This window comes from Homo sapiens, chromosome 20 (genome assembly GCF_000001405.40).
Source record: "Homo sapiens chromosome 20, GRCh38.p14 Primary Assembly".
Classification (NCBI taxonomy): domain Eukaryota; kingdom Metazoa; phylum Chordata; class Mammalia; order Primates; family Hominidae; genus Homo; species Homo sapiens.
The window spans coordinates 46,334,477-46,345,589 of record NC_000020.11 but is presented as its reverse complement, the minus strand read 5'-3'; the positions used below and the strand labels follow the sequence as shown (position 1 = coordinate 46,345,589).

The 11,113-nt window shown below is 50.3% G+C and overlaps 1 annotated feature.

The window, feature by feature from the left end:
• Positions 7,566–8,067: an enhancer, noted in NCBI's record as "H3K4me1 hESC enhancer chr20:44966161-44966662 (GRCh37/hg19 assembly coordinates)". NCBI's record gives its function as "activates a minimal SCP1, AML or CMV promoter by ChIP-STARR-seq in primed H9 embryonic stem cells {active_cell/tissue: H9 hESC(primed)}" and the evidence as "EXISTENCE:reporter gene assay evidence [ECO:0000049][PMID:30033119]".

Here is an 11,113-nt window from a genome sequence, read left to right as displayed (position 1 = left end):
CATGGGGAACTCTAAAGCTGAGATACCTTTCAGAGTTGTCCCGAGTTGGGGTGAGAGGCTCATGGCCTTACACCACAGCATTGACCTGTCATTGGAAGTGAGCCTGCCCCTGGAAGGAGATGTGACTTTGGGTAAGGCAGTTTCTTCAAGACAAACCCCAAAGAAGGATGACTGCCGGACTCCCAGCAACTGAGGAAATAAGTCCTTCACTCCCAACCGGAGACCTGAACACCACATCACAGTGTCTACCACAACCAGGGTCCACAGTCTGGCTTCAGGGATGACCAGGGATCTCTGAAGAGGAAAGCAGCATCCAGCATGTGTGTGCATTTACATGTTTTTCTGGGAGACAGTGTCCTTGACCCCCAAAAGATTAAGAATCATTGGTCTATGGAAAGCCAGACTCATTCAAAACCGTGTGATCAGAGATGTACATGGTAGTTGTTCAACAAATATAAAAGGACGGATGGATGGATAATCGATGGATGGGTTGGTGGATGGCTGGATGGGTGGATGGACAGTTAGGTAGATGGATGGAGGGGTAGATGGATGAAGGATGGATGGATGGATGGATGGAGAGATGGATAATGGATGGATAGATGGATAGGTTGATGGATGGATGGGTAGATATATGATGGATGGATGAATGGGTGGGTGGATGGATGGATGGATGGATGATGGATGAATGGATGGTAGATGGATAGGTGGATGGATGGGTAGATGGATGATGGATGGATGGTGGATGGACAGATGCCATAATAGTTGAATGTATGGGAGCCACAGGAAAGGGAGCAACCGTCTGGGTCAGGAGGAGAGCAGACTTCCAGGAAGAGCTGACCCTTTTGAATTGAGTCTTGAAGACTAAATAGAAGTTTGCTAAGCAGACAAAAGAGGCGTACCTTGCAAGGGGAAAGCAGATGCGAAGGTGCAGAGATGTGCGTGAGCTTGAGGTTGGTGTGTTTGGCTGCTGTAACAATTTGTTCACCCGTGGCTGGCCAGAGGTGCACATGGGGAAAGAGGAGGGGGAGCGGGGCTACTGATCCATCTTTGAAAAGAGGAGGTATCCTGATAGGATTGTTCCATCATGTTATTTTGAACAAGTAAGTAGATCCTCTCCCCGCCCCCTAACAGTCAACAGTGGTATCTCTAGCATGAGGAGGGGGAAGAGGGAGGTCCTAAAATAATTTCATGCGAGTAAAGAGCATTGGGTCATTTACCACATCCTTTTCCATGCTTGAGCTCCTTAGTCCTGCAATCCACCCTGGGAAGCTGTTGGTTCTGAACAGCCCTGCTTTCCAGATATGAAACAGGCTCAGAGAGGCCAAGTGACTTGCCCAAGGTCACTCAGCTCTTTAGCCACCAAGCAGACAGCCCTATAGCCCAGCAGGGGCTTACACCTCCCAGAGCTCAGCAGCCCTGTGGTTGGGATGGCAGGCAGCCTCACTACCCTCCTGAGATTAGGTTACTCTGGCTAGGGACAGAAAAGGTGGCCCACTGTAGGGGGCCCAGGGCCTGGCGGCATCCTGCTGGCAATATTTTGCTTTGCGAGGAATCCCCCACTGAGCCCAAGCCTCCCATCCTGTTCCTGGGCTGCCCCATGAATTAAACATGCCCCCATGGTTAACTCAGTAATGCTTTTATTAATAGTTAATTACTCAACGTGCACTGGGGAAATGAGACTCACTCAGGCCTCGTAAATTAAGGCAGTGATCTCGTGAAGGAAGCCAATGGGAGTTCATTACCCCAGCCCCTTCCGACATTGTACCTCTGGGCTTGCCATTTAGCGGTGCTAAACGAGATGCGCTGGCGGGGGCAGGAAGGGGGGACGCGGGGACAGGAGCCTTCTGCAGGGGGAGGTGGGAACTGGAGGATGAGTGTCCACCAGTTTCCTGGGAGAGAAAGGGCCCTAGGAGATGGGGCGGAAGCATCAGCTAGGAAATGTGATCCCTGCACCTTGGCAGCTTGTCATCTGCCTGTGTTTCCTGTCACTGCTAGGGACTCGGCACAACCTCCAGGGATTCCCAGATGGGGCAAGGCCATCTGTCTCAGGTGTGGGACTCCCTCACCCCGTCTGGGCCTGGAACCGGCCCTGCCCCAGCCTCTGCTGGTGGCGTCCCCCCTCGTGCAGCCCTTCAAGCCCTGGGTAGGGAAGAGCAGATCCCTCCTCAGAGTCCAGGGCCCTGGCCTCCCCTACCCCTGCTCTCTCATTTCACAAATGTCGAGACTTCCCCTTCTAGTTTTTGTTGTGTCTGAAGCCAATTTCCCATCCTGACTGTGCTGCCGAGCTGGATAAGGGGCTTGCGCTAACCTGGTTTCGTTTTTCTAAATTTACCTTTCTCCCAGGTTTTGTTTCCCAGGAGACAGAATCCCCTCTATTTATCTTCCTAGGAGAAGACAGCCAATGTCCGCTTTGAACCTACTATGTGCCAGGACCTGTCCCTGTGGGTTATGTTCGTTGGCTTTAGTTTCTAGCCATGTGACTCCACCTCCCGGGGTGTCTGTTTCTTCATCTGAAAATGGAGATGATCATAGGACCTGAGTCTGGAGTCACTGTGATGATTAAACGGAGTGGTTAGACACTGCCCAAAACATGTCAGCTCTCTCTACGGGGCAGCTGTCATTACTTGCTTCTTCACAACAGTGCTGCCAGCTGGAGACCGTCCCCATTCTACAGATAAGCAAAGTGAGGATTTAAATACCTTCTTTGAACTTGCCTAAGGACACACAACCCAGAACTTCATGTTGCCAAAGTTTATCATGTTCCTTCCTTAGAGGCGAAGTGGGGCACCGATCCCCACTCTAGGAGGGCACACTGGCCAAGCCTGGGAGCCAGGAGAGATCTGCCCATCTGTCCTTGAGTCACAGGGTCTCACCAAGGCAGTGTAGGATGAGACGCAAGGCCCTGCAGTTGGGCTGGCCCAGGTCCAAATCCTGCCATACCCACTGGTCATCACTTTAACCCCTGGAACCTCAGTTTCCACTTCTGGAGGAATGGGCTTGAGGTAGCACCTGGCTCCGTGGGCGGCCATCAGGGCTTCCGTTTGGAAGTGCCTGACATCTCGTAGTCAGCTTTCAGAGCTCTCTGCACCTGGGCTGCTTTATCTGTAACTGGGGATAACAAAAAACGTCTCTTGCTGGATTGTGGAAGACCCTACAGAGATAAAGGGCACCAATCTGCCTTTTGAGCAGGCAAATGTAAAACAGGTGAGCTGCTGGTGCAGAGGTCAAGGCCCCTCAAAAACAGTTTAGCAGAGCTGCTGGGGGTTAAACACTGCCTGGGTGGATGAGGTGACTGCTGGCTTGATGAGGGCTCTCATGGGTCCGTGATGCAGAGGGTTGGGGACGGATCACCACCCAATGTCCTCCTCAGCTCCCAGCTGCTTTGCCAGGCAGAGGTCAGCCTCTCAGCTGTGACTCCCCAGGACTGCCAGAGCCACAAGCGGGCAAGAAGTCTGGGGTGGGAGATTGAAGCCTCCCCGGTTAGGGAGCACAAGTCGTGAAGGAGTGCGGCTCGGGGTTCATATATAATATGTAGCATCAGATTTAAATGTCACTGCTGCAGGCGGCTGACCCGGGTCCAACACAATGGGCCGCAAGGGGCAGCGCCACCGCCTCTTCATCTTCCTGGCGGTAGCTGACCAAAGGGAGGGAGATTTGGTTTCTTAAAAAACTAAACAGTTGTTGAGCACTCTGGCGTTGCCTGGGCAACAACTGAGGGGGAGAGAGAAGCATCTTATTGTTTAAAGTTATTCTTGCTCGATTTCAAAGGGCTGCTCTGAAAAGACCACATTCTCCAAGCAGCGTGGCTGGTCCTCTCCGCCGTCCCCGCCATGCCATCCCAGCTCCTGCCCTCCCTCAGCCCCCATCCCCACTTCCCAGCCTGAGGCTGCAAAAGGGGTTGTAGCTGTGCTGGACATCAGGGCGCTGGAGACAGCCTCCCTCATGCGCTCTGTGCGTTCATCCGCAGGGCAAGCAGAAACACAGAGACAACACGCCGTGCTACTGCAGCCACCCCCGACCTGGACATGTGGGCACAGGGGCACTGTGGTGCTTGGTGACTTAGGGGTCAGCTCAGCACAAGTGCCTGAACTTGGGAGTGGGCAGGGAGGGACGGGGGTGTCTCCATCATGTATGTTCCAAATGTGAACATCTTGGTTTTCAAGCCCAGACGGGGGCAAGGAGAAGGTGGCCGTGTCAGGTCATTACTCAGGGGCAGTGGCTGAGTGCAGCCCCATGATCCCTCAAGAGCATGCCAAGTGGCCTGTTGTCTGCACCCCTCTGCCCCTCCTGCAACGCTGTATTGGAATTGTTTATTCATCTCTCTTACCCACGAGACTGTTAGCTCCCTGACAGCAGGGCTGCGTCTATTCATCTCTGTGTATTCTAACAAGCTGCCTCAAATCCTTTCAGGAGCAAGGCAAATTCTGAAGATCCGAATGAGATGTACATATATTGTTAATTAAAAACATTTAGAGGGTGAAAACATACACATGATACAGAATTCAGAAGATTCAAAAGGAATAAAAACCCATGTGTCCTGGTGCTGAGTTTCCCTCCATAGGGGCACTCCTAGTTCCCAGCATCTGGTGGATTCTTCTAGAGATATTCTGCTTATATAGACACAGATGGGCCTAAAATAAGATATATTGGCCGAGTGCGGTGGCTCACGCCTGTAATCCCAGCACTTTGGGAGGCCGAGGCAGGTTGATCACTTGAGGTCAGGAGTTCAAGACCAGCCTGGCCAATATGGCAAAACCCCCGTCTCTACTAAAAAATACAAAAATTAGCTGGGTGTGGTGGCACACGCCTGTAACCCAGCTACTGAGGAGGCTGAGGCAAGAGAATTGCTTGAACCTGGGAGGCAGAGGCTGCAGTGAGCCAAGATCAAACCATTGCACTCCAGCCTTGGCAACAGAGTGAGACTCAAAAAAAAAATATGTTATTCATACCTCCAGCCCCCCATCTAGCACGGGGCCCAGTGCATAGTAGGTGCTCAATAAAAGCATGTTGAATGGATGCATGCCCAGATGAACAGAAGTGGATGAAGGATGGGTGGGTGGGAGGGTCAGTGGTAGATGGGTAAATAGACGCAGCTCTTAAACTATTAGTTCTCTTTTCTTTTTTTTTTGAGATGGAGTCTCGCTCTTTTGCCCAGGCTGGACTGCAGTGGCGCTATCTCTGCTCACTGCAACCTCCGCCTCCCGGGTTCATGCCATTCTCCTGCCTCAGCCTCCCGAGTAGCTGGGACTACAGGTGCCCGCCACCACGCCCAGCTAATTTTTTGTATTTTTAGTAGAGATGGGATTTCACCGTGTTAGCCAGGATGGTCTCGATCTCCTGACCTCGGATCTGCCCGCCTCAGCCTCCCAAAGTGCTGGGATTACAGGTGTGAGCCACCGCCCCCGGCCTATTAGTTCTCTTTTCTTACAGATATATGGATTCCCCGAAAAGAAATTACTTGAGACAAAGACGGCAGACCCGGAATTAGACACAATGAGTCTGGGGGGCTATGTTATTCTGAGGGAGATGTCCAATAAGCAGTTAAATTTGTAGTTGTACCCGGTGGGAATTTTATTCTACTGCTAATAACAAAACCTAATTAGAATTTTTTGACTCCATAAAGCCCCACCTTGATATCAAGAATATCAGGGTCAAGGTCACTGTGATTTCCTCATGGTCCCAAAATGCTTTTGGGGAAAGTGACCTTCAACCATCCTGTTCATGTTCCAGGGAGGAAAAAGAGGGGCAAAAGAAGGAGTCAGCTTCCTATAAAAAGCCTGTTCCTGGAAACCCCACCAGATGACAGCTCCAGTATCTCCAAAGCAACCCGTCACTGCAGAGGAGGCTGGGAGAATTGGCCTCTGAGCTGGGCACATTGCTCCCCCAGGTAATATTGGGGGCTATTAGTAAGGAAATGGAAAAAGAGGAGGCTACTAGCAGTTTTTGCCACATGGGTGAAGAATCCAGGGAGAGAGCTGGCTGGAGGATGGAGATGGCAGGAAAGCGAGTTCCAGGAGTGGCATAAGCCAAAGCAGAAGGGTGAAAGTTAATGGCTCTTTTAGTTCCTCATAAGCTCTGCAGGCTCCAGTCTCAAGATGCATCCTGAATGGGGCCACTTCTCCAGTCTCAGCCTGCTCCAAGCCACGTGATCTTTCACTGGATGCTGCAGACCCCTAGCTCCTGGTCTTCCTGCTTCCCCTCCTACCCACTACTCAGTGCCCCATTCTCTGCCCCACAGCCAAAGGGATCCTTCTAATTGAGAAATCTGAATGCATCACGCCTGACTCAGAACCCTTCCGTAGCATCCCACCTTGCTGGGAATACAATCCCGAGTCCTCACCAAAGCCAGACCTTACATCATGTGTGGTCCATGCGCCTCTCTGTCTTCTCCCTTCGCTGGTCACTTTGTTCCAGCCACCTTGGCCTCATTGTTCCTTCTTACCCCAGAGCCCTTAGACTTGCTGTTCCCTCTGCCTGCAATGAATTTGACTCAAATCTTCGCATGGCAGCTCCTTTGCCCACTTTATGTTGCTGATCAAATACCACCTCCCCGGAGAGGCTTCCTTGACCACTCCAGCTAAAAACCCGCCCCTCCTCCCCATCCATCTCCACTCCAGGAGTTAATGCATCTGGGGCCATGGACCCCTTGGCCCTGGTGAAGCCCTTCTCAGAATAATGATTTTAAAGGCATAGACGAAAATACATAGATTTATCAAGGCAGCCAATTATATAGAAATCGTTTTCAAAATATTTACAAAACAAATGAGTGATACAGTACTAGATGCACTTCTTTATTAATGCATTAAATAACAAGATCTCGTGGCAGTTCTATTAACCACAACAATTTTGAAGCAGTGATGAGTGTCAATGATGTTTCAAAATGTATGCAACAACTGTAATGTGATAGGAAATATCTGATTTCTGTTGGTGACAAAGTCACAGGCACTGCTAATACTACCGTGGTATGTTGCCAACATTTATAATTGAAGAAAAATGCGATATTTTAGTTACAGGTTAGTGAGATAAAAATATAATTTTTTTCCTCCTCTAACTTCACTGACCCCCTGAATTCTATCTCTAGATGCCTTGGGGCAGGGGGAGGGTCTGGTTCTTTTTTTTTTTTTTTTATAAGTCCCTTTCACTACCCAACATCATACATTTATTCGTCAACTTGCTTTCTGTCAATTTTTCCCAGAAGAGCAGAGATTTTATCTGTTCTGTTCTCTGCTGTATTTTCAGGACCTAGAACATCTGCCAGGCACATAGTTGATCAACAAATATTTTTTAAATAAATGAATAAGCAATAGAGGAGGCTGGAAAGACAGGGAGGCTTGAGGCAGATGCGAGGGGCCTTGAAAGCCAAGCACAGGAGCTCGGCTGTGACTGGTGGTGATGGACTCACCCTGGGAGGGGACGCCAGCCTGGGAGAGGTCACTGTGCCCAGGGCAGCCAGGCTAATAGGTGGCGTGACTGGGGGCGTGAGCAGACTGGCTGTGACCACCTTCCAAAGGCAGCTTTCAGAGGGAGGCCCAGGCACACACGAGTCCCTGCATCAGCTGTGGATGTCGGCAGCCACTCCACTCCCTGCTCTCCCCGCTCCTCCTCTGGTCCCTTGGAGGTCAAGCAGAAACTTGGAGAAGCCAGGCTTACAGCCCTGTCATCATTCTTCAGCGTTTCCCAGGCAGTAATAGTGTGCCAGGCACCAAGGGCAGGGCCCACGGGGCTCTGGGGAAGGAGAGCCCCAGAGGTCATGATGCACCGCGGGGACGTCTCCACGGCAGCTATTGCAGACAGACCCAGTGTGTTGGACCCAGGAGCCACAGGTCACCCCTCCCCAACTGGGGCTGGATATTCAGGGCCACGAAGGAGAAGCCAGGGAAATAGCCAGCTTCTGGGATCAGACCCACTTGGGTGGAATTTCAGCTTGGCTGCTTGTTTACTAATTGCATGCGGTTGAGCAGGTCACATAACCACTCCAAGCCTTGGTCTCCTTTTTTTTTTCCTCGAGACAGGGTGTCACTCTGTCTCCCATGCTAGAGTGCAGTGGCGCAATCTTGACCCACTGCAGCCTCAACTTCCAGGGCTTAAGCGATCCTTCCACTCAGCCTCCCAGGTAGCTGGGACTACAGGCATGCACCACCAGGCCTGCCTAATTTTGTAGCTTTTTGTAGAGCCAGGGTCTCCCTATGTTGCCCAGGCCGGTCTATAACTCCTGGACTCAAGTGATCCTCCTACCTGAGCTTTCCAAAGCACTGGGATTACAGGTGTGAGCCACCGCGCCCAGCTCAGTGTCCCTTTCTAAAATGAGAGTGGTTTTTTCTACATCATAGATTTTGGGTGAGGATTTAATGTGGGAAAATAACAGATCTAAAGCAGCCAGCTCAATGCCAGATGCATGGTAGATGCTCAACAAATGGTTGCCCTTGTCCTTGTGAAAATAGCAAAATGACTTGACAAGGAGGCCAGTAGTCCTCTGAAGCCAGCATCCCTGCATAACCTGCCTCAACACCCTGCCCAAAACGGAGTAGGGGGAGAATAAGGTGGTAACCTGGGAGCCAATAAGCTGGGAATGAAGAGAAAAGACATGTTTTGGAACCATGTCTGGATTCAAATCCCAAGCTCTGCAGTTTACAGCTGTGTGACCTCAGGTAAACCACATCACCTCTCTGAACCTCACTTTTCTTTTTCATAAAACAAAGGTAATCCCTTCTTCTCACAGTGCTGTGAGGGTTACTGGACAAGTGTGCACAGAATGTGTGAAAGACCTCTGGGACAGGCCCTGACCCGAGGTCAGCACTCAGTCAACAGCAGCTTGGAATACGTGATCACAGCCCAGCCCAGAGAGGGAACCAAGGAGGATACAGATCATAGGATTAATCCCTTGCATTTGTCAAGTGTTTCACACTGTGGAAGGAGCACTCACTCACAACCGTCTTTGCATCTGAGCCTCACTTCAGCACTTTAGGAATGAGAGGATGGAGAGTTTTTAACTTTTAAGTTCAGGGGTTACAAGTGCAGATTTGTTGTATAGGTAAACCCATGTCTTGAGGGTTTGTTGTACAGATTATTTTGTCACCCAGATACTAAGCCTAGCACCTATTAGTTATTTTCCCCTGCTCCTGTCCCTCCTCCCACCCTCCACCCTCCAACAGGCCCCAGTATGTGTTGTTCCCCCTTTGGGTCCATGTGTTCTCATCATTTAGCTCCCACTTGTAAGTAAGAACATGCAGTATTTGGTTTTCTGGTCCTGCGTTAGTCTGCTAAGGATGATGGCCTTCAGTTCCATCCGTATCTCTGCAAAGGACATGATCTCGTTCCTTTTTTATGGCTGAAGTACCGAGAGTTTAATTTTTTTTTTTTTTTTTTTTTTGAGACGGAGTTTCACTCTGCTGCTCAGGCTGGAGTGCAGTGGAGCGATCTTGGCTCACTGCAACCTCCGTCTCCCGGGTTCAAGCGATTCTCCTGCCTCAGCCTCCCAAGGAGCTAGGATTACAAGTGTGCACCACCATGCCCGGCTAATTTTTGTATTTTTAGTAGAGACGGAGTTTCACCATGTTGGCCAGGCTAGTTTCGAACTCCTGACCTCAGGTGATTCACCCGCCTTGGCCTCCCAAAGTGCTGGGATTACAGGCGTGAGCCACCATATCTGGTCCTTGATCTACATTTGACAAAAGAGACACAGAGCTGTGGTGGCACTGGACTCTCAGAAGCAATCTGCTCAAAGGTCACCAGCCAGTAAGGTTTGGGGCAGGATATGAAGCCAATTATCTCCTTTCCTGTCTCTTTTCAAAATAGACACTCATTCATTCACTCAAGAGATGGTCCCAAGCTAAGCCCCAGGGAACTGGCAATAAATAAGGTAGACATAGCACCTGCCCTCAAGGAACTTCGAGTCCCGTGGACTCAGGATGCTCCCCCCACACTTCACCGATTTGAAGGGAGACCTATTTTTGCTAGATTTTCCTTCAAAGAAGGAAGGCAAGATCTAGCAATCTTGCCCACTCGCAATCTTGCATCACTTGCCCAAGGTCACTCAGCATCAGATCTAGATGACAGATAGGGAAGTGCCTTGAGTCTAGAGTTATGGCCAGGAATAGGAGCGTTCTCTGTCCTTGGGGATGACATCCACTCACTAATAAGCCCAGAGATAGACACTAGGATCCCAGGATGAATAAGAGTCCTAAAATGAAGGATTCCACAGCCAAATGCACTGGGAAAAGCTACACCATCTCCACCCCTCCCTGCAAGTCTGCTGCTCCTGAACACACTGTAGGCTCTCTGAAAATTTCTACAGAAAGAAACCACTTAACTCGATGTTTCTCAAATGTACTTGACCATGTGAACCTTTTTTTCCAGCCACACCTACTGAATTTGGAGTATGATAGGCAGAGGAAAGAACACAGGCTCTGGATGGGATCAAACTGTCAAGATATTAAAACACAGAGGAGGGAAGGTCACTTGCCCAGGTCACTCAGCATCAGATCTAGAGCCTGGGTCTCCATGCTGTTGCTAACATGAGAAGATCCTTAAGGATATTCTGCCTGGCCTCCTCTCTCAGAGAGGTGGCCCTGACAACCTGCTATGTGGTAGTTCATTCTGGAGCTGCTGATTCCTTCCTAGCCTTTGTGCAAATTAAAAGAAGGTACCACCTTCTTCTGGGCCAACAAAATCCCATGTCAGAGCACATGGATTGCAAAAGTGTAGTATGGGCTGGATTTCAGCCCCCACTTGCCCCCTTAGCCAAGCACCCTGGTGCAGGACACAACCTGTGCAACTGTACATGGCCACCCTTATTAGCCCTTTCCTCATTCCTCCTCACTCATTCTACCCTTGGCCACTTCACGTGAGGGGCGCCCTCCCCTCAGTGCTGGGCTGAGGCTGGTGTGGGAACAGCCCAGTTGTTGGGGCTGTACTTCCAAACCCCAAAGCAGCATCAGCCAAAGGTGCTGACTCAGCAAACCTTAATTTATCTCACAGGCCAGGGGTGCGCGTGAAGCAATTAGTGAAATAATGGTTATGTCGCACTAAAAATTATTTATAGAGTCACCGTGCACACAGCTGTGATTAAATTAGACAACCAGGGGGACTTTAACTGCTGGCGGAACCAGCATCC